At 35.9% G+C, this 24,778-nt stretch overlaps 2 annotated features.

Moving 5' to 3' along the window:
• Positions 10,403-11,602: an enhancer, noted in NCBI's record as "BRD4-independent group 4 enhancer chr3:89880545-89881744 (GRCh37/hg19 assembly coordinates)". NCBI's record gives its function as "activates an origin of replication core promoter dependent on BRD2, P300/CBP, MED14 and CDK7 cofactors, and independent of BRD4, by STARR-seq in HCT116 cells {active_cell/tissue: HCT116}" and the evidence as "EXISTENCE:reporter gene assay evidence [ECO:0000049][PMID:35650434]".
• Positions 23,863-24,363: an enhancer, noted in NCBI's record as "H3K4me1 hESC enhancer chr3:89867784-89868284 (GRCh37/hg19 assembly coordinates)". NCBI's record gives its function as "activates a minimal SCP1, AML or CMV promoter by ChIP-STARR-seq in primed H9 embryonic stem cells {active_cell/tissue: H9 hESC(primed)}" and the evidence as "EXISTENCE:reporter gene assay evidence [ECO:0000049][PMID:30033119]".

Here is a 24,778-nt window from a genome sequence, read left to right as displayed (position 1 = left end):
GCTATATACTTATGTTTTTATAATCAGAAATATAAATTGTTTATTTTTTCTACCTAGCTTTACCTTTGAAAAATCTGAAAACAACCTCTCAGCCCTAAAATTCACTCAAAAGACAATTTAAAAAAGAGAGCTAGTTTTATAAGTTCTTGTGCCCTACCCTCTGAGTAAACTATTTCTCTTCTAGGGAAATAACTTGTCACTTGGAAATTATTTAGCTCTAGTTCAGCTCAATCCATTAAAAACATGAAATGACAAGGCAAAAACGGAAACTTCAGTGATTAGTTTTTGAGTTGCTCTTCCAGTGCTGAGCACCGTAAGTCAGAGGTCCCTTCTGGACACACCAAATAAAACTCAGCCCAAATGCAAGACAACTCGGCATAGACATATCCTTAATTTTAAACAGTCAGAAATAAAAGCTCACAATATAAAGCTAGACTTTGGCTTCCTCCTTCCTATTCCTTATGTTTCTTTCCCAGGTTATTATTCCATTAAACAATTTCTTTATCCCACTAAATCCTTTTAAATCCCAGTTCTCTTCACACATCTTTCAAACTGAACCAATCTGTTTTCTCAGGCATGAATTTCTTTAGGCTTCTGTCATTGTTGACAATTCCTTTTATGTAATGTTTTCTGATTTTTTATGCATATCAGTTAGCCTCTTATTTTCAAATAGCATGTTAATATTTTAAAGTGGCTTTTAAAACACTCCAGGGTGAAATATATAAAAATTATGTTCTTATGATATGGAAAGGCATAACCTCAGAACTGCTTTTTAATGTCTATTGAAACTTTGAACAAATACTTTAACTTTTTTTTAACCCTCCTTATCTTCATGTGTAGAGTAAGGCCTCCTTTACGGAGTATATGAAAACATTTTTTGAACTACTGTTACTATGCAAATATTAATTATTCTTATTCTTATCTTTCCTATATGCCTTCTCTCCAAATCAACCATTAAAATTAGCATTGACTACAGGAAAGGTGCCAACTAAAAACAAACATGAAATTAATCTATTTTGTTTTTTCTTTTTCTTCCAAAACTAAGTTAATAATACTACGTATGCATAGTGACCTTGATTTGTAATCTTTCTACAGCTATAAAATTATCAGAGAGCACCTTGAGCAGCTGAGGTTTACATTTAAAGTCAGCTTGACAGATACATACTCTTGTGGGAAAATGGCCAGAGTTATCAAAGTGCAATGACACAATTTTGTAAGCGAATCCAGTTCCCTTTATTCCAGTTTTTATTCATCATGTACTTTATGACATTAGCTAATTTCACAAGTGATTTCTCAATTGTCAAAAGAAAGTTTACTTATTCCTTATATATATTTCTTAATATATATATTATTAAATATATATTTCTTAATATATACATTATTAAATATATATTTCTTAAGTATATATTTCATTATATACTCTTGATTCCCCTTGTTCAGTACCAGTTACAAAATAGATTTTTATAATCTATAATGTTGATAGTAAATGAAATACTGAGAAGTGGATTTTTTTAATACAATAATGAAAAAATAGTTTGATTCAATTTTATCATTAGTGATTAGAAAGAAATAATTAAAGACAAGATCAACCCTTCAAAACCTTTACTATATTTTGGATGTGCTATTAAGATCTGGGTACAAAATTGATTGCCACATGTTGACCTTACAAATGATCAATTCAATTGAATATGAGGTCCACCTCTATTTTCCCTGTAGTGTGTTATCACTCCAGTGAATAAGCTCTGACTCACTCTCTTGGCTGAGACTCAAACATAAATATATTTAATCAGGTAAAATTATAAAATGCTTTAAGAATGCCCTTAGTATACCAGAGACTGTATCTGAGGCTAGTGAACATAAATCAGGGATAATTTTAATATCCCCTTAGAAATAGCCAATTTCAACAGATGTCCCAAAGATTTCATGGTGCTTTTGACTCTCACAGCACTTTGAGATTTGTGAAGGACCAGTAATCTCGTGTTATCAACCTGATTTGAATGTCTTTTCTATTTCTTGTTCTTATGGAAATTTGACTGTTCATTGAGGACAATTCCTCTGCAGCTTTCTCAAGTGGAGCTTTATTTCTGATTTTGTTTTTGTTTTTTTCTATCTCCCTTTCACATGTTACCTCAGGTCCTAGGGATGAGTGATATGATTCTGGCTTTCGTTTGCTCTTTTTCAGACAAGTTCTACATTGTCTTCTACAGATACTCAGTTTTTCTAAAGTACAAGCTATCAGACTAAACCTTTTTATTGAAGTCATCTACTTATATCCATGTCAGTTTCCACCTTCACACCACATTTATGCAAAGCTTTCCTGTCTAGATCACTGTGTTCCTTTTCAACACTACTCTTACCTTGATTTTGGTGTCTTCTGTAAGTATGTAATTATTTGACCAAAACATTGACCCCTCTATTACTTGTCTTCCACTCCACTTTTTTACCACTCGCAAGGACTAACTCAAAATATTTTCATTAACAATAACTATATTGCAGCTCGCATCTCAAATTTAGCCATTCTACTCTAATTACCTACTTTCAGCTCACCTACACTTTTAAAGCACTCGACAATTTTTCTGCCTCCAAATGCAGAATTCATTGATTTCATCATCTTTTCACTGTGTAACTTCCATTTTGTTTCCTTTCTTATGCAGCTAATATACTGTGATATGCTACCAAAATGTGATGGAAAACAACTTTTGCTGCTGTGCTCTTCCCTTCCTTCCACCTTATGCTTTGTAACAGAAGACTCTCGATTCTATTTTAAAGAGTGTCTACAGTTATGCAAAGTGCCTACTGAATGTGGAAATTCTTGATGCAGGAGAAAAAGTGAATATTTCAGGAACAAATTCTTAGAATAGGTCAGAGGTGATAGAAAACAGACTCTGGTGCACAGGTGAGCATTTGGCCCAATAGGTTATAAACACTCCATCCATTAAAATAGGCATCTTTAGCTAGTGAATATAAATTAAGAGAAATATGAGCAAAGGTGTTGTAGGCATATTCACAGAATGGTTATAACAACGGGCCATGGAATCTAAATTAAGAAGGTAAGTAAGAACGTGAAGTGAGATATGGTGAGTATGTGATATGTGAGCTGGAGATCCAGGTGAGTTGAAAAATGTTTAGTATAAGAGCATTACAGTTGTCATGCTAGGAGGATAAGAGTCAAATAATTAGATGACAATGTCAAGGGATTGGATGCATGAAATCAAAATTTTGATGATGGAACAGTTATTAAAAATAAGGTCTAGGTACAATTATAAGAGATAATTTGTTAATGAACACATTCATGTTGATTAAAAAACTTGCCTTATGAGAGTTTTCTTCTATAAGAAATAATGTCATAAGTTACATGCTGATTTATAATCAGATCAAAAATTATTTCTTAACATTTAAAGGTACCCTTAGGTTTAGTCATCTACTAATCTACATTCTAGAATAACTGCACTTATAATATCCTCAACTCGTTTCCTTAAGCCATGAGAATCTGATCAAACCAATATAAACTTTTCCCAGAAAATATGCTTATGTGTTAAATAAGGACATACACAAAATTTCATATTCCTTCTGAAATTTATCATGAGATCTCTTAAAGATAAGTGTTAACTGCAGAAGTGTTTGGGGTCACAATTTTAGTGTGTGTAACTGCTGATGAACCTGCCATTTTGAATGGTAAGCAACACATGTAAGATGACAAAGGCACTCTAGTGGTGAAAACCATCAAAGTAGCTAAATTGCTATAGTTAAGCCATATTTTACTGATGAGAATTCTCCTTAAATAGTGACAGGGGCATACTAAAACAGATTTTTCTTCTTTGTTCCACATCATGGAATTCCAAACTAAACGGAACTGTTGAACATAGAAAATACCACTGTCATACCCAAGAGGGTTCATTTTGCCTAACTAAAGATATTTGGAATCTTTATACTTCAAATCCAAGGTACATATTTTATTTACTTCTAGGCTAAGCTTTCCATGGGTCCTTCTCTATCTTCCTTGGGGGCTTATAAAGCAGGCCACTTACTTAAAAATGCTCTAGGCTATGGCCTAAGAGATCTAATTTTTAACACTAAGTCTTTCATTTTGGGGTGTGTTTCTGTATGTGTGGGATGTGGGCAACTTAAATATTTTGATTTATTTACAGCTGATATCATGCGAATGTTTTTCCTTTTTGAAACTCATGTTGAAACTTAATCCCCAATGTAAGTGTCTTAAGAGTTGGGGCCTTTAAGACGCGAATGAGTCACGAGGACTCTGCCCTCATGAACTGATTAATCTATTCATGGATTAATGTATTATCATGGGAGTGGGTTAGTTATCATTAGAGTGAGTCCATTGTAAAAGCCAACTTGGCTGTCTTTCATGTGCCTCTCTTGTGCTATGATGGTTTCCACTGTGTTATAAGGCAGCATGAGACCTTCACCAGAAAGTGAACAGATGCAGCCTCTTGACCTTAGAGTTTCCAGCTTCCAGAACTATAAGAAATAAATTTCTTCTATTTGTAAATTACCCAGTCTCAGGTATTCAGTTATAACAACAAAAAATGGACTCAGACAATAGCATACTACCTATCTTACCTAGTGAGTGTGAACGGTAATCAATGTGAATATTCATTAACAATATAAAATGCTATGCATAAGCAGAAAAAATAATGTTGTATAATCTATCCTAACATAGTAACATGTCAAATAGCCTTCTTGAGAACGTAACATTTAGGGCCTGTATGTCATAAATAAAATGCGAGAATATTATCAATGTCACTCATATTGATAATCCAAACAATTCCAATAAATAATCTATTTAACACCAGAAGTGGATAATTTGCAAATGATGTAGCACAATCTACTTCTGCAATTGTATGTGACTACATTAAAAAATCAAATTTAATAAATCTATGGATACATTTATTAGGTACTTATGATGCATTAAATGTTACACTTTGTAGATACAAAGGGTAATAAAGACTGGAAAAAAAGTCAGTGTCCTCAAGGAACATATGGTCTACTTGAAAATAAAAAATTAAATAAAAAATTTACATTTTAAAATTTTTTAAAAAATACGTTTTAGGAAATTGTTTTAAATTTATTTATTTATTTTTATTTTTTGGTGTGTAGTCCTTTATTTTTTTTTATTACACTTTAAGTTTTAGGGTACATGTGCACAACGTGCAGGTTTGTTACATATGTATACATGTTCGTGCCATGTTGGTGTGCTGCACCCATTAACTCATCATTTAACATTAGGTGTATCTCCTAATGCTATCCCTCTCCCCAGCCCCCACCCCACAACAGGCCCCAGTGTGTGATGTTCCCCTTCCTGTGTCCATGTGTTCTCATTGTTCAATTTCCACCTATGAGTGAGAATATGTGATGTTTGGTTTTTTGTCCTTGTGATAGTTTGCTGAGAATGATGGTTTCCAGCTTCATCCATGTCCCTACGAAGGACATGAACTCATCATTTTTTATGGCTGCATAGTATTCCATGGTGTACATGTGCCACATTTTCTTAATCCAGTATATCATTGTTGGACATTTCGGTTGGTTCCAAGTCTTTGCCATTGTGAATAGTGCCACAATAAACATACGTGAGCATGTGTCTTTATAGCAGAATGATTTATAATCCTTTGGGTATATACCCAGTAATGGGATGGCTGGGTCAAATGGTATTTTTAGTTCTAGATCCCTGAGGAATCGCCACATTGACTTCCATCATGGTTGAACTAAATTACAGTCCCACCAACAGTGTAAAAGTGTTCCTATTTTTCCACATCCTCTCCAGCACTTGTTGATTCCTGATTTTTTAATGATCGCCATTCTAACTGGTGTGAGATGGTATCTCATTGTGGTTTTGATTTGCATTTCTCTGATGGCCAGTGATGATGAGCATTATTTCAAGTGTCTTTTGGCTCCATAAATGTCTTCTTTTGAGAAGTGTCTGTTCATATACTTCGCCCACTTTTTGATGGGGTTGTTTGTTTTTTTCTTGTAAATTTGTTTGGGTTCATTGTAGATTCTGGATATTAGCCCTTTGTCAGATGAGTAGGTTGCAAAAATTTTCTCCCATTCTGTAGGTTGTCTGTTCACTCTGATGGTAGTTTCTTTTGCTGTGCAGAAGCCCTTTAGTTCAATTAGATCCCATTTGTCAATTTTGGCTTTTGTTGCCATTGCTTTTGGTGTTTTAGACATGAAGTCCTTGCACAGGCCTATGTCCTGAATGGTATTGCCTAGGTTTTCTTCTAGGGTTTTTATGGTTTTAGGTCTAACATTTAAGTCTTTAATCCATCTTGAATTAATTTTTGTATAAGGTGTAAGGAAGGGATCCAGTTTCAGCTTTCTACATATGGCTAGCCTGTTTTCCCAGCACCATTTATTAAATAGGGAATCCTTTCCCCATTTCTTGTTTTTCTCAGGTTTATCAAAGATCAGATAGTTGTAGATATGTGGCATTATTTCTGAGGGCTCTGTTCTGTTCCACTGGTCTATATCTCTGTTTTGGTACCAGTACCATGATGTTTTGGTTACTGTAGCCTTGTAGTATAGTTTGAAGTCAAGTAGTGAGATGCCTCCAGCTTTGTTCTTTTGGATTAGGATTGACTTAGCAATGCGGGCTCTTTTTTGGTTCCATATGAACTTTAAAGTAGTTTTTTCCAATTCTGTGAAGAAAGTCATTGGTAGCTTGATGGGGATGGCACTGAATCTATAAATTATCTTGGGCAGCATGGCCATTTTCACCATATGGATTCTTCCTACCCATGAGCATGGAATTTCTTCCATTTGTTTGTATCCTCTTTTATTTCATTGAGCAGTGGTTTGTAGTTCTCTTTAGAAGAGGTCCTTCACATCCCTTGTAAGTTGGATTCCTAGGTATTTTATTCCCTTTGAAGCAATTGTGAATGGGAGTTCACTCATGATTTGGCTGTTTGTCTGTTATTGGTGTATAAGAATGCTTGTGATTTTTGCACATTGATTTTGTATCCTGAGACTTTGCTGAAGTTGCTTATCAGCTTAAGGAGATTTTGGGCTGAGACAACGGAGTTTTCTAGATATACAATCATGTCATCTGCAAACAGGGACAATTTGACTTCCTCTTTTCCTAATTGAATGCCCTTTATTTCCTTCTCCTGCCTGATTTCCCTGGCCAGAACTTCCAACACTATGTTGATTAGGAGTGGTGAGAGAGGGCACCCCTGTCTTGTGCCAGTTTTCAAAGGGAATGCTTCCAGTTTTTGCCCATTCAGTATGATATTGGCTGTGGGTTTGTCATCAATAGCTCTTATTATTTTGTAATACATCCCATTAATACCTAATTTATCGAGAGTTTTTAGCATGAAGGGCTGTTGAATTTTGTCAAAGGACTTTTCTGCATCTATTGAGATAATCATGTATTTTTTGTCTTTGGTTCTGTTTATATACTGGATTACATCTATTGATTTGCATATGTTGAACCAGCCTTACATCCCAGGGATGAAGCCCACTTGATCATGGTGGATAAGCTTTTTGATGTGCTGCTGGATTCAGTTTGCCAGTGTTTTATTGAAGATTTTTGTGTTGATGTTCTTCAGGGATATTGGTCTAAAATTCTCTTTTTTTGTTGTGTCTCTGCCAGGCTTTGGTATCAGGATGATGCTGGTCTCATAAAATGAGTTAGGGAGGATTCCCTCTTTTTCTATTCACTGTAATAGTTTCAGAAGGAATGGTACCAGTTCCTCCTTGTACCTCTGGTGGAATTCGGCTGTGAATCCATCTGGTCCTGGACTTTTTTGGTTGGTAAGCTATTAATTATTGCCTCAATTTCAGAGCCCGTTATTGATCTATTCAGAGATTCAACTTCTTCCTGGTTTAGTCTTGGGAGAGTTGGTTTAGTCCTGGTTTAGTATGTGTTGAGGAATTTATCCATTTCTTCTAGATTTTCTAGTTTATTTGCATAGAGGTGTTTATAGTATTCTCTGATGGTAGTTTGTATTTCTGTGAGAACGGTGGTGATATTCCCTTTATCATTTTTTATTGTGTCTATTTGATTCTTCTCTCTTTTCTTCTTTGTCTTGCTAGCGGTCTATCAATTTTGTTGATCTTTTCAAAAAATCAGCTCCTGGATTCATTGATTTTTTGAAGGGTTTTTTGTGTCTCTATTTCCTTCAGTTCTGTTCTGATCTTAGTTATTTTTTTACCTTCACTAGCTTTTGAGTGTGTTTGCTCTTGCTTCTCTAGTTCTTTTAATTGCAATGTTAAGGTGTCAATTTTAGATCTTTCCTGCTTTCTTATGTGGGCATTTAGTGCTATAAATTTCCCTCTATGTACTGCTTTGAATGTGTCCCAGAGATTCTGGAATGTTGTGTTTTTGTTCTCATTGGTTTCAAAGAATATCTTTATTTCTGCCTTCATTTCATTATGTACCCAGTAGTCATTCAGGAGCAGGTTGTTCAGTTTCCATGTAGTTGAGTGGTTTGGAGTGAGTTTCTTAATCCTGAGTTTTAGTTTGATTGCACTGTGGTCTGGGGGACAGTTTGTTATAATTTCTGTTCTTTTACATTTGCTGAGGAGTGTTTTACTTCCAATTATATGGCCAATTTTGGAATAGGTGTGGTGTAGTGCCGAAAAGAATGTAGATTCTGTTGATTTGGGTGGAGAGTTCTGTAGATGTCTATTAGGTACACTTGGTGCAGAGCTGAGTTCAATTCCTGGATATCCTTGTTAACTTTCTGTCTCAATCTGTCTAATGTTGACAGTGGGGTGTTAAAGTCTCCCATTATTATTGTGTGGGAGTCTAAGTCTCTTTGTAGGTCTCTAAGGGCTTCCTTTATGAATCTGGGTGCTCTTGTATTGGGTGCATATATATTTAGGATAGTTAGCTCTTCTTGTTGAATTGATCCCTTTACCATTATGTAACGGCCTTCTTTGTCTCTTTTGATCTTTGTTGGTTTAAAGTCTGTTTTGTCACAGACTAGGATTGCAACCCCTGCTTTTCTTTGTTTTCCATTTGCTTGGTAGATCTTCTTCTATCCCTTTATTTTGAGCCTATATGTCTCTCTGCACTTGAGATGGGTTTCGTGAATACAACACACTGATGGGCCTTGACTCTTTATCCAATTTGCGAGTCTGTGTCTTTTAATTGGAATATTTAGCCCATTTACATTTAAAGTTAATATTGTTATGTGTGAATTTGATCCTGTCATGATGTTAGCTGGTTATTTTGCTCATTAGTTGATGCAGTTTCTTCCTAGCCTTGATGGTCTTTACAATTTGGCATGTTTTTGCAGTGGCTGGTACCAGTTTTTCCTTTCCATGTTTAGTGCTTCCTTCAGGAGCTCTTGTAGGGAAGGCCTGGTGGTGACAAAATCTCTCAGCATTGGGTTGTCTGTAAAGTATTTTATTTCTCCTTCACTTCTGAAGCTTAGTTTGGTTGGATATGAAATTCTGGATTGAAAATTCTTCTCTTTAAGAATGTTGAATATTGACCCGCACTCTCTTCTGGCTTGTACAGTTTCTGCTGTGAGATCAGTTGTTAGTCTGATGGGCTTCCCTTTGTTGGTAACCTGACCTTTCTCTCTGGCTTCCCTTAACATTTTTTCCTTCATTTCCACTTTGGAGAATCTGACAATTATGTGTCTTGGAGTTGCTCTCCTGGACGCGTATCTTTGTGGCGTTCTCTGTATTTCCTGTATTTGAATGTTGGCCTGCCTTGTTAGATTGGGGAAGTTCTCCTGGATAATATCCTGCAGAGTGTTTACCAACTCGGTTCCATTCTCCCTGTCACTTTCAGGAACACCAGTCAGATGTAGATTTGGTCTTTTCACATAGTCCCATATTTCTTGGAGGATTTGTTCATTTATTTTTATTCTTTTATCTCTAAACTTCTCTTCTCACTTCATTTCATTCATTTGATCTTGAATCACTGATATCCTTTCTTCTAGATGATCGAATCAGCTACTGAGGCTTGTGCATTCATTGCGTAGTTCTCGTGCCGTGGTTTTCAGCTACATCAGGTCCTTTAAGGACTTCTCTTCATTGGTTATTCTAGTTAGCCATTCATCTAATATTTTTTCAAGGTTTTTAACTTCTTTGCCATGGGTTCGAACTTCCTACTTTAGCTCGGAGTAGTTTGATCATCTGAAGCCTTCTTCTCTCAACTCGTCAAAGTCATTCTCCGTCCAGCTTTGTTCCATTGCTGGTGGGGACCTACCTTCCTTCAGAGGAGGAGAGGCACTCTGATTTTTAAAATTTTCAGTTTTTCTGCTCTGTTTTTTCCCCATCTTTGTGTTTTTATCTACCTTTGGTCTTTGATGATGGTGACATACAGATGGGGTTTTGGTGTGGATGTCCTTTCTGTTTGTTAGTTTTCCTTCTAACAGTCAGGGCCCTCAGCTGCAGGTCTGTTGGAGTTTCCTGGAGGTCCACTCCAGACCCTATTTTCCTGGGTATCAGCAGCAGAGGTTGAAGAACAGCAGATATTGGTGAACAGCAAATGTTGCTGCCTGATCATTCCTCCATTTGTTTTGTCTCAGAGGGAGTAACCGGCCATGTGAGGTGTCAGTCTGCCCCTACTGCGGAGTTCCTCCCAGTTAGGCTACTCAGGGGTCAGGGACCCACTTGAGGAGGCAGTCTGTCCATTCTCAGATCTCAAGCTGCGTGCTGGGAGAACCACTACTCTCTTCAAAGCTGTCAGACAGGGACATTTAAGTCTGCAGAGGTTTCTGCTGTCTTTTGTTTGGCTATGCCCTGCCCCCAGAGGTGGAGCCTACAGAGGCAGGGAGGCCTCCTTGAGCTGCAGTGGGCTCTACCCAGTTCGCGCTTCCTGGATGCTTTGTTTACCTACTCAAGCCTTGGCAATGGTGGGCGCCCCTCCCCCACCCTCGCTGAGGCTTTGCAGTTTGATCTCAGACTGCTGTGCTAGCAATGAGTGAGGCTCTGTGGGCATAGGATCCTTTGAGCCATGCGGGGGATATAATCTCCTGGTGTGCCATTTGCTAAGACCATTGGAAAAGCACAGTATTAGGGTGGGAGTGACCTGATTTTCCAGGTGCCGTGTGTCACCCCCTTCCTGTGCTAGGAAAGGGAATTTCCTGACCCCTTGTCCTTCCTGGGTGAGGCAATGCCTCTTCCTGCTTTGGTTCACGCTCGGTGAGCTGCACCCACTGTCCTGCACCCACTGCTTCGACATGCCCCAGTGAGATGAACCCGGTACCTCAGTTGGAAATGCAGAAATCACCTGTCTTCTGTGTCGCTCACGCTGGGAGCTGTAGACTGGAGCTGTTCCTATTTGGCATTTTGGCTCCACTCCGTTTTAAATTTAATTATACAGATTATAAATGCCATACTAGGTTGTGAGAAGAAATTCCTTTAGGTTATAGTTGTTCTACTAAATCCATTAGTTTATTTATTACTTTAAATTGTTTTAATTGAGCACCTATTATATGTTAGACATTTTGCTAGCCTTATGTAAAAAATCAAAAGTGAATAAGAAGCACATTGTCAAGAACAATGAAGAATCTGATATTTTTACCCTGTTTGCAAGTTAACAAGTCAGCTTGGCAGTTTCGTGGACAGTGGTATCTTAGACTCCTGAGTCTAAGACAAAGGTCTTTATACTTATGGCACATCAAGAAGTAGGAGCTTCAATCTGCTTGCCCTTTGTGCTGGAGGAAGACATTTATTACACTGCTCAATGAACAAAACTGCCCTCAAGTTTTCAGAGAAATACTAATATTCCAAGGCTATTTGCCATATTGTCATTCAGGATAAGATAGCCCAAAACAAAAACCATCAGAGCCTGTATTAATTCTCTGTTTCTATGCAACAAATCATGATGCATTTAGTGGATTAAAACAATGTATTTATAATCTCATAGTTCCTTTGAGTCAGCAGTCTTGGCATGATAACAGAGTCCTCTGTTTTTAATCTTATGAGTCCAAATTTAAGGTGTCAGTTAGGATGAATTCTTTTCTAGAGTGCAGAATCTTCTTCCAGCGTCAGTTGGTTGTTAGCAGAATTTAGGTGCTGGTGATTGCAGAAATGAGAACTCCCTTTTCTTTCTGTTTTTCATCTGGGAGCCATGCTCACCTCCTAAGTGTTACCCATAGTTCTTTGCTGTATTGCTCTCTCAAAGGCCTTTTCACAATATGGCAGCTCATTTTCTTTTTAAAGCCAACAGGAGAGTCTCTCACTCCAGTCTGCTGAAATAGTCCTATACAAAACCATGGGAGTAACTAGCTCATCAGGTCCGCCATATAACGTAAGTTAATAAAGGGATTGAGTATTCCATCCTTTTGCCATATTCTGTTGGCTAGAGGGAAGTCAAAAGTTTTTTTTCACCCTCAGCAGGAGGAGATTATGTTGGAGTGTAAATCGTTGGAGGTTACATTATGATGCTTCTGATCATAAGACATGCAGAAAAAAGAAAGATGAATGGAAAATTGTTTCCCAAAAAACATAGGCCTTGATAAAGGGAAGCTTATGTTTTATAGATCTTCCTGGTCTTCCTATACATAGATTATATACATTCATAAGTAAACACATATATAAATTCAGTAATTAAGGAGTGTAATAAGTGATACTCAAGAAATAAACAGAGTGTAATAGAATAATAGAAGCATTATTCTGGAGCTTTAAGAGATTCTTTGAGAATGTTATGCTTTAGATAAATAATGAATTGGGAGAGAATTGTAATTGGAATAGTACACAGAAAATGGAAAGAAAATTACAAGATTTCAAGGGTGCTCACAGTGAGTGTTCAAGTTAAAATGAAGCATAACCATTGAAATGATGAGCAGTTACAATAAGGATGGAGATATTTCTAAACGACAGAACAAAATGTTTTGATTTTATTGTATAGGCAGTAAGAGAGTTAGGGAAGCTGGAATGGAGGGAGGAAGTGTGATTGAGAGAATGATATTTAAACATTTACACAGAGGCTCTGTTTTGTAGGGTAGTAAGATAACCAACTGGAAAATATTCAGCAAGTAATTAGAAATGAGAGATGGTAACTCTGAAAGAAAGTAAAGTGTAGATTTGAACACTAGGTGAAGAGTGGAGATTTCTGATGTCATGGGATTGGTGGAGCTGCATAGAGAAATGTATAAAGAGAGAGAAATAGAAAGCTAGCAGCTAACCTGCTGAACACAGGAGGAAGACGAGTAAGCAAAACTGATGAAGGTACTATGAGGACCAGGATAATGTGTCATAAAATAAGAAAACAAATGAAAAAAACTAAAATATTTGGAGAATCTGTGATTATTTTTTAAAGCATTTTTTGAGTTTAGAACTTTTTTCTTGTATAAATTTAGGGGATATGTGTGCAGACTGAGATTTCAGTGTAACCATCACCCCAATAGTGTACATTGTAAGAATACGGTATAATTTTGATTAGAGGCACTTCAAAAAAGAGTAGGCTGAGGAAATTGCAACAGTAGAAATAGACCACTTTTTAAAGAAAGTTTTCAGGGATGTGAAGACAATGTTTGGCAGGTAGATAGCACCACTGAGATCAGTATGATTTTGGCTGGTGCTAAAATATTCAGAGCACTTGAAAGTGCTTTGTAGATATAAACCTATTTCTAGTATTTCATAAACAGGATATTGTGCATAACTTGTTACCCTCGGATGGATGGTAATAGAAAACTACCTATTGTATAGCCCCCAATCCCATGGCATCAGAAAGCTCCACTTCTCACCTAGCATTAGAATCTACATTTTACTTTCTTTCAGAATTCCCACCACTCATTTCTAATTACTTGCTGAATATTTTCCACTTGATTATTTTACTACCCTACAAAACAGAGCTTATGTATAAACATTTAAATATCATTCTCTTAATCATACTTCCTCCCTTCATTCCAGCTTCCCTAACTCTCTTACTACCTATACAACAGGTGGATGGAAATAGAAAACTTCTAGTATTACTAGTCCTAAAATAATTAATCTTTCTGGGAACTGTCTGGGAAAGGGTGGCCTGAAGCACATCACAGACACTTAAGGGAAAATTACTGGCCTTATTTGCATCCAGGTACAACCATACAGACCAATTCTGGTTCCCTTTTGGGTCTGCATAGCAAAACAGTGTGTCCATGCAAGGGAATGTGATTGGATAATATTATTCCCACTCCAAAATACCTTTATGCATATTTTCTATGATGATATTATAGTTACCACAGGATGCAAATTTGAGGTACTGATGTAGCCTGCTTTAAACAATGCAAAATTTGGGGTATTTGCTTTCAAATTTGCCTAATCTCTGATTTGCAATTTTCCCTGTTTTATATGGATATAATAACTTTCAGGAATAAGGTAAAATTGCTTTGAAATTACCTCTAAAGTTATTGATGAATATCTAAATGTGAAAATGGAATAATACTGTGTATGTTAATACCAAATAGGATAGTGTCTTTTATCAGTTTATTCTTATGGAACCCGTAAAGTGGAAAAAAAAAAACAGGCCTTCAGATATTGTCTATTGATGATTTCTATATAAAAATTTTGAAGTTTTGCCTACTATTGATATTACTTCTTTTTAGTCTCTGATATTTAAATTAATTTTGAAATGTTGGATAAATATAACATGGAGGTACTGAATACAAGAATTTATCCAAAGATCTTAATAAAATTACAACCCATTGTTAACACACACACACAATTTAAACCAAGTCAAGAAACAATAAGTCGGAATTTATTTTTGTAAAAATTGAATACTTGAATATAAACATGCATATACTCACATGCATGTCTGTACTTATATTGAAAATGTCTGTAAGGTTATGAACATGGTTACATCTTATGAACATTGGATGAGGAGGTTTTTTCTTTATCAGTTAAGCTTTATATTTAATAATAAGCATAATAAGCCCCAATAAAAACATTAGTAAAAATAACTTTGAATTGAAGTTATGATAAGAATGAAATGATAAGGATCTGAATTAGAATAGAATGTTACGCAGATTGAAGGATAGTTGACGAAGAGACATTTTTTGATACCGATAGGAAGTGGAGTTGGCAGGATTTGGTGCCTCTGTAGACAAGATGGGCAAGGAAGATTTAGAGTTCATGGCATGACTAATTTGCCTGGTTAAAATATATTTCACCCTAAACAATCAGGCTATTGTTATTAATAAATATTAATCAATAATCAAACACTCTGTAACACTCTCTTATTTAATGCAAGAGAAGTACATGTCCTAAACATTTCTACACTGTTATTGAGCTAACACTTTTTTTTTACTTTGACAAAAGAAACTGGCATTAGCTTAAATTAATTTGGAAATAATATCGATGACTGTGATTTTAATCTATAATCTCCACTAGAAAACTAGAGTAGAAGGGATTTCTGATTACCTAAGGGTGAGCTTTTTTCTTTTTTCTAATCTGCTCTATATGCCAGGAGCAGCGTTAGAAGCTCCGTGGGGATAAGACCAATTTAGTCAACATTAAATCCAGTTAAGATAAGATACCTCCTATTTGATATAAGTATGTATTTACTCTCTTAGAGACTTTATTTTTTTATATTCAGGAATAAGCAGGGTATAGTTATTCTAGGCAGTAATAAAGCGATTTCAGTAAGCAACATCTACTCTTCCACCAAGTACCTTCAACTATTAAGTTTTTCAGTGCTCAGAAACTTATTTTAATTTTTGAACTGAATATCTTTGATCCATAGTTTTTGCTGAATTCTATGGCTAGAAAGACCTAAGAAATAAAGATCTTTATTTTAAAAACATATTTATAATGTGCATATTTAATTGTAGTTGATTAGCCATGTCTTCTTTTTTTTTTTTTTTTTTTTTTGAGATGGAGTTTTGCTCGTGTCACACAGGCTGGAGTGCGATGGCGTGATCTCGGCTCACTGCAACCTCCGCCTCCTGGGTTCAAGCAATTCTCCTGCCTCAGCCTCCTGAGTAGCTGGGACTACAGGCACCCACTAACTCGCCTGGCTAATTTTTGTATTTTTACAGAGATGGGGTTTCACTCTGCTGGCCAGGCTGGTCTCAAACTCCTGACCTCAGGTGATCCACCCCCGTCGGCCTCTCAAAGTGCTGGGATTACAGGCATGAGCCCCTGCGCCCAGCCATATCTTAAGAAATCTATTACTTGCTTATGAAAGCCTAGTTGAAATTTATGACTAGGTACAATTTGTCTTGCTTTTTAAAAAAATTTGTAATATGTAGCATATGGAATATAAATATTTGAAAATAATTTTGAGTTTACATACTGGAAAAAGTAAGGGAAATATTGATGGCTTAACTTTACCAATTAAAAAAAATCGTGGAAAATTGATAGCAGATTTGAGAGTGCATGTAACCTGTGTTTTTATATTAATTTGTATGTGATTCTGAATGTTTTATGATAAAGTCTCTTTTGGGTCAAATGTGCGGTAGCATTGTTTTAAATTAAAGATGAGAAGGAGTTCTCATATTACTTTATATTTGTTTCTGAAGAACATCTTTTATTCATTTTCTATAACACATAATTATAGTGCATGTCCCATAGTTACTTTTAGAAGTGTAGGAGTGTATTAAAAAGTTCATCTTTAGAAAACTCATTGTTCTAGTTTCAAATATCCACTGCTAATATGCAACCGTATCTTCAATTGCATTGTCTTGTAATAATAACCATTTGTTTGTGAAGAGAAAATTAATGTATTCAAAATTTCCAGGTGATCTATAGTTCTGTAAAAGTAATTCTAAAGCAGAACTGGAAAATTTGCATACATTTCAGGATAAAAGTTAAAACCATTGTTTTAATCTTTTAAAACATGTAAGGACTTGGAACTTAAAAAACTATAAAAATTATAAAATCAACATAAACATAGATAATACATGCTTATTGCTTAAAATATGCTTTCTATAACAAGCACAAGTTTTCAGTAACGGAAGTGTTCCCTCTTTCTTGAAGAAGCAAATTAATTTTATGATTACATTATTTGCTTATTTTCTTGCAGATTTTGTTTCATGGGCGTTTTCCATTAATCTTTAAAGGAGAAATTCAGTCCTTCAATTTTAGCAGAATCAACTAATTTTCCTTCTATGAATGTTTAGAAGCCATTTATCCTTAACACCTGCAATAAGTACTGCATGGTGGCGAAGAGTTCAGAATCTAGATTCAGAGTACCCATGTTGTAGCCCACTCTCTCTATAGCTATGTGACCTTGGCCAAGTACGTAAACTGCTCTGTGACTCCCAGTGCTTTCATGTTTAAAATCTAATCATTAATAATACTACTGAGATTGAAGTTTTGTTGTAAGGATTAAATGACACATAAAGAGATAAACATAATTCCTAGAATATTTCAAGTGTTCAATTAATAGTTGGGATTATTTTAGTAATGTTTGAAATACATAAAATAATCAAATGGCTATGAAAAATTTTAGTAAATTATCAATTGTCATATATTTATATATCTAATAATAGAATTCACGTCCATTTACCCAAGTTCAAGCTCCTTCACCAGTTTCCAAATGAACATATCTTCTTGGGTGGATTTCATCACAATGAACTTAACAGACACCAAAGCAAAAATACACTTCCTACCCTAAATTAATGCTTCTTACCAAATCTCCTCTCTCTGTTAAGTTCCCAGTGACTTACTGGTTATATCTTGGATTAATTTTTGACTTATTTATTTTCTTTATTTAATATTTCAGGAGAGATTTGTGGTCTATCTTTTCCAATGGGACCACTTACCACACCTAACATCATTTGCCTCTTTTGTTTTAACAACATAACTGTTTTTTTTGTTGTTGTTGTTCCATCTTTTTATATATTGCTCTCCCTGGCCTGCCTCTAAAATTTTACCATTTTGCATGACTGTTATTGGCACACTCTGTCATTAGTCCCATCTATGCTTTACTTTTCCTTGCAAACACATTCAACCCTGAGGCTTCAGCTCTCACCAAGATTTGTATCTCTGTCTCCAATTTCTGTTCTGCATTTTGGCTCCATATATCCAAAACCTACTAGATTTTAACAGAGATTTTGCCTTCAAACATATTTGGACACAAATGTATAATTTTTTCTAACTCCCAAAAGGTTTGGTAAGGTAGAGTTTTTCTTTTCATCTAGTTTTTTAAGTTAGAAACGTCTGAGTCATTTTTTCCCAACTTTATCTCCTCTCATTCTTGAAATACAATTAATTAGTTTTCAAATCTTATTGATCCTATTTCCTACATCTCTCTAGCCTTCATATCTACTGCTGCTACAGAGATTCAGAGGTCCTTCAACTCAGACTCTTCCAGTTGTGTGATAATTGTTCTTCTCTTTGTACCTTTCTTGTCCCTTTCTAATTCCTGATCAACATGCTGGCCAGATTTCTTGAGTACACGTCATGTTAGGTAACTTCCTTTCTGGGATTCTAATTTTGAGGCATGGATGATGATTCATATATATATATGTTTATATAAAGTAACCACACCAGTACTTGGGGAGGCCAAGGCAGGCAGATCATTTGAGGCCAAGAGTTTGAGACCAGCCTGGCCAACATAATGAAACCTCATCTCTGCTACTAACACAAAAATTTAGCTGAGCGTGGTAGCACATGCCTGTAATCCCAGCTACTTGGGAGGCTGAGGCCGGAGAATCACTTGAACCGAGGAGGCAGAGGCTGCAGTGAGCTGAGATCATGACACTGTACTCCAGCCTTAGCAACAGAGCAAAACTCTGTATCAAAAAAAAAAAAAAAGTAACCACAGAATTGGTTCTTAATATCATTACACAGTTAACATTAACTTTTATCTAATTTGAAGTTATTAATTTCTTAAGAACACTACATATTTCAAACTACTTCTGTGTGAATATATAAAGGACAATTGAGGAAAAGAGCATGTATCATTAAATAGTAAATTGATGAGAAGGAACAATATTTTTGTATGATAAATCTAATAGACCTGAGATTCATTGCCAAAAGGAATAAATCATTGGACAAAAAGCCAAAGTTGTAGTCACCAACAAATTAAAATATATAAACCACTGATAGATTTGACGGATATTTCCTAACAAGTCTGAAATGTTTACATTTTGGTACAAGCCCAACATCTCTTTTGAAACACATACATAAAATGGCTAATTTTTAATTTTGAAGTTTTTCCTGTATATTGTATCTTTAACATATTTTATTAAAGGCAAACTTTTCTATATTCATTTAAGATAAATATGGATTCAATCATATAGATTCACAATTGTAAGGAGATATTTATGGGGATCATCTACATGATCACTCATCACTATCACTATAAAAATTAAAATATGAACAACCTTGTTAATTAGATATATCACATTTCTGTCTCATGAAATTATTTTTATTTATAAACTTGGTTACAGGGTTAGTTTTAATCTATTCTTTCTAACTACCTGGAACAAAGTTACTTTTTGCTGATTAAAAACTTGTAGTTTTTCTTCATTTTTAACTAAACTATTGACATATTTGCCTGTTTTATTGTATCCATGACCTATAGTTTGTAATGTGAATCTTGCTGTAATTGTGTGAAGGTATGAAATATTCTTAATGTTTTTACTTATACATCCTTTAAAGTAGTTATACACTTTTATGTTAGCATAAATTATAATGTGATTTTTATTTTATCTGACTTGTAGTGTTTCTATGTAAGCTATTATATAAATTTTCCAATATAACTTAGAGTACTGAAATGTTTTTATTTGGTAATATCTTAGGATAGAATTTTCTCATCAGTGGTCCAATATTTTTTAAACATTTATTTTTAGCTTACTTATTACATGTATATCTATGCAACCACAATATTGAAAATTACATTTAAGTTAAAATATGGATCTACTTCCTTTCAATTTAATAAAAATTTGGAAATAAAATTATTAATAAAAACCTTACTTCTAATTATAATAAATGACTAAAGTCAATGGGACAAAATTTGACCAAAGGAATACTTATTTTTATTCACAAAACAGCAGTAATCCAAATTTCTAACCCATAGCACAACCACCTTTCCTGTGCAGAAGCTTTTTGGCTTGATGTAACTTCATTTTGCTTTTGTTGCCTAAGCTTCTGAGGTCTTATTAAAAAATCCTTGCCAGAATGAATGTTCTAAAACTTTCCCTCAATTTTTTATTCTAATAGTTTTATAGTTTATGGTATTATACTTAAGTCTTTAATACATTTTGAGTTGATTTTTGTAAGTGGTGAGAAATTAGGGTCTAATTTCATTCTTCTGAATGTGGATATTCAATTTTCCCAGTGCCATTTATTGAAGCAACTGTGCTTTCCCCAATGTGTGTCCTTGGCACCTTTGTTGAAGATCAGTTGGCTGTAAATATATAGATTTACATACATATTTAATGTTTTAATATGTGTTTGTTTTTCTGGTCTATTTTTCTATGTGTCTGTTTTTATGCCAGTACCATACTGTTTTGGTTGCCATTGCTTTGTAGTATATTTTAAAGTCAGTGTGATGCCTCTCGCTTTGTTCTTTTTGCTCAAGATTTCTGTGGCTATTTGAAGACTTTTGTGGTTAATTTTAGTATTGTTTTTTCTACTTCTGTGAAGAATGTCATTGGTATTTTGATGAGGATTGCACAAAATCTGTAATTGCTTTGGGAATTATGGACATTTTAGCAATATAAATTCTTCTAATTTATGGACATAGGATATCTTCTAATTTATATCTTTTCTCTTCCATTTATTTCACCAATGTTTTGTAGTTTCATTGTGGAGATCTTTTATCTGCTTGGTTAAATTTATTGCTAGGTATTCTATTTGATTGGTAGCTGTTGTAAATGGGGTTACTTTTTTGATTTCTTATTCAGTTGTTCACTATGTTTATCTAGAAATGCTACTGATTTTTGCATGTTGGCTTTATATCCTGCAAATTTACTGAATTTATGTATTAGTTCTAATAGTTTTTAATGTATTATTTTAGCATTTTCTGTATATAATTTAATCTGCCAATGGAACAATTTGACTTTAAAAATGACTATTTGGAATGAATAGATAGTAAAGATGTAGACAATTGCAATGACTCTCACCACTGATAATAGAGATTGTATTGTATAGGTTTGGGAATAGTAGAGCATATTTGTGTGACATAACTATGACACAGGGATGTGTCTGACAGGAGGTTGAAGATCTAAATGTATGAGTCTTTATAAAATTGTCAAATGAAAACACTTTTGCATGAAAAAAATGGACTATGCCGGCCACATGATCTTTCTAGCCTTCTCAAATCTGCATCATATTCTTCTATACTTATTCTTTGTGCTGCAGATTTTAAAAAATAATTAAAATAATTATTGTTAACTTTTTTATCACTGTTTGTGAACTGCGTGCTGTAATTACCACATAATGTGTTGAATACTCACATCCTTATGAAGTAAGTATCATTATTATTATTTGCATTATATGAAAGAGAAAACTGAATCACAAATAATTTAAATAGATTATCCAAAGTCACATAGCCATGAAGAGGCATAGAAGGATTTCTTTAAACTTGTATTTCAGGTTCAGGGATACACGTGCAGTTTTGGTAAATCAATAAACTGTGTCATGGGAGTTTGGTGTAGAAGTTATTTTGTCACCCAAGTAATAAGCATAGTACCTGACAGTCATTTGATCCTCTCCCTCTTCCAAACTTGCACCTTCAAGTAGGCCCTCGTGTTTGGTATTCTTTTCCTTTTGTCCATGTATATGCAAAGTTTAGCTCCCATTTGTGAGTGAGAACATGCGTTATTTGGTTTTTTGTCCCTGCAGTAGTTCACTTAGGATTATGTCCTCCAGCTCCATTCACATTGTGACAAAGAACACGATCTTGTTCTTTGCCTGTATAGCATTCCATGATGTCTATATACCACATTTTCTTTATCCCGTCTACCATTGATGGGTATTTAAGTTAATTCCATGTTTTTGCTAGTGTGAATAGTGCAGTGATGAACATACAACTGCATGTGTCTTTATGGTAGAATGATTTATATTGCTTTGGATATATACCCAATAATGGATTGCTGGGTCAAGTGGTACTTCTGTTTTAAGTTTTTTGAAAAGTTGCCACACTGTTTTCCACAGTGGATGACCTAATTTACACTCTCACCAACAGTGTACAAGCATTCCCATTTCGCCACAGCCGCACCTACATCTGTTATTTTTTGACTTTTTAGTAATAGCCATTCTGACTTGTGTGAGATGGTATCTCATTGTGGTTTAGATTTGAATTTCTTTAATGATTAGTGATGTTGAGATTTTTTCATATGGTTGTTGGCTGTGTGTACTTCTTCTTTATTAAGTGTCTGTTTATGTCTGTTGCCCATTTTTAATAGGGTTATATGTTACTCACTTGTTAATTTAAGTTCCTTATACATTCTGGATATTAGACCTTTGTCAGATGCATAGTTTGCAAACATTTTCTCCCTTTTTGTAGGTTGTCTCTGTACTCTGTTGATAGTTTATTTTGCTGTGCAGAAGTCGTTTAGTTTACACCTCATTTGTCAATTTTTATTTTTGTTACAATTGCTTTTGGTTTCTTCATCCCAAAGTCTTTGCCAGGGCCTATGTCCGGATGGTATTTTCTGGATTATGTTTCAGGGTTTTTATAGTGTGAGGTTTTGCATTTAAGTTTTAAACCCATCTTAAGTTGATTTTTGTGTATGGTGTTAGGAAGGGACCCAGTTTTAGTCTTCTGCATATAGCTAGCCAGTTATCCCAGCATATTTACTGAATATGGAGTCCTTTCTCCATTGCTTTTTTGGTCAAATTTGTCAAAAATCAGATAGCTATAGGTGTGCAGCTATAGTTCTGGTCTCTCTATTCTGTTCCCTTGGTCTGTATGTCTATTTTTGTACCAGTACCATGCTCTTTTGGTTACTGTAATCTTGTAGCATACTTGGCTATTTGGGCTCTTTTTTGGTTCCATATTTATTTTAGAATAGTTTTTTTTTCTAATTTTATGAAGACTGTCATTGGTAGTTTGATAGGAATAACACTTAATCTATAGATTGCTTTGAACAGAATGGATATTTTAACAATATTGAGCATAAGGCAAGAGAAAGACAACACAATCAAATAGGCAAAGAGAAAGCAAAACAATTTCTGTTTGTAGATGATATGATTCCATACCAAGAAAATCCTATCCAAAAGGGTGTATCCATGAGCTCAATACATTCTGTGAGCATGGAATATTTTTCCATTTGCTTGTTTCATCTCTGATTTTATTGACTAGTTGAATTAGTTGTAATTATAATTAGTTATTCTAATTCTTGCTGTAGAGGTCTTTCACCTGCCTGGTCAGAGGTATTCCTAGGTATTTTTTTCTTTTTGTGGCTATGGTTAATAGGATTGCATTCCTGATTTGTTTCTCAGCTTGGATATTGTTGGTGTATAGAAATGCTACTGAATTTGGTACATTAATTTTGTACAGTGAAACTTGGCTGAAGTTGTTTACCAGATCTAAGAGCTTTTGGGCAGAGAATACATACACTCTTTTGGGTGGGATTTTCTTGGTATAGAATCATATCATCTACAGACAGAATTTTTCTTACTTTCTCTTGGCCTATTTGATTGTGTTTTCTTTCTCTTGCCTCATCATTCTGACTATGACTTCCAGGACTATGCTGAATAGGAGCAGTGAGAATGGGCATCTTTGTCTTTTTCCGGTTCTCTAGGAGAATGCTTCCAGCTTTTGCTCATTCAGTATGGTGTTGGCTGTGGGTTTGTCATTATGATGGCGGTGGCGGCCTGTCTGGAGCAGCCACTGTGGGGATGCCAGCTGCAGCACAAGAGGTGTGGCCAGGGTTCTGTGCTCTGTGGAGTCAGAGGGGGCCTGGAACAGAAAAGAGCCCCTCCCCCTACTGAGTTGGTGGGGCAGTAGCCCCATGCTCCTGGACACAGCTGCAGCTGCCCAGCAGTGGCTCTGGACCCAGGCATTCCTGCATTTTCCGGGGCCTGGAAAAATCCCTGCCCGTGCAGGCTCAGAAGTGCTTTCTCCCATTCTCTGGCATCTCCCTGTTCCTGGTGCCCATTCCAGTGTGGAGCGAATATGTGGCCAAGCCCAGGCACTATTGAGATCTGGGCAGGTGTGTGCACACATGGGGTGGTGCTGACATTCCAGCCCCTGCTGCCTTGACCCCCTCCAGACTTTGGGTGTCAAGAAGCAAAAGAAGGTTGAAGGGGGGTGAGGGAAGCTCATCATGGGCCTGCAGGTGCCCCTCAGCATAAACAGGCTGGGTGCTGTGGATGGCATGTTGATTGTGAGAGGGAGACAAGTTTCTGGAAGGAAAGGATGGGTCGCTAGTGAAACCCCACCTTCAAGCCAGGGACAGCCTGAAGCCTGAGAGCTGGGCTGCCAGTTCCAAGTGGAGTCCGTGGTCTGGAGTGAGAAATTATAGTACTTTTCCTGGGCCTGCCTGCGAACCCGTCAACACACACTTCCTCCCTTCTGGGCCCATAAAAACCCTGGACTCAGGGTGTATGAGACAGACTCACAAGGATGTTGGGACTACCAGCTCTGGGAAGAAGCTACCCATTTTTAGTCTCCTCAATTTATCAGGATGACCTGCCTGTGGAAAGGAGCTACCCACTATGGGTCTCCTCTCCTCCAAGAGCTGGACAATCTTCAGAATGACCTGGCTCCAGAATGGAGCTACTGACTTTGGGTCTCCTGAGAGCTATTCCATTGCTCAATTAAGGAGGTCTGCCTTGCTCATCCTCCAGTTGTCCATGTACCTCATTGTTCCTGAACATGGGGCAAGAACTCAGGACCCACTGAATGGCAGGATTGAAAAAGCTGTAACACAAACCAGGCTGAAATGCCCCCTGCTCACCACGTTGTAGGTGACAA

Source organism: Homo sapiens, chromosome 3 (assembly GCF_000001405.40).
Source record: "Homo sapiens chromosome 3, GRCh38.p14 Primary Assembly".
Taxonomy (NCBI): domain Eukaryota; kingdom Metazoa; phylum Chordata; class Mammalia; order Primates; family Hominidae; genus Homo; species Homo sapiens.
This window is presented reverse-complemented; position numbering and strand designations above follow the sequence as displayed.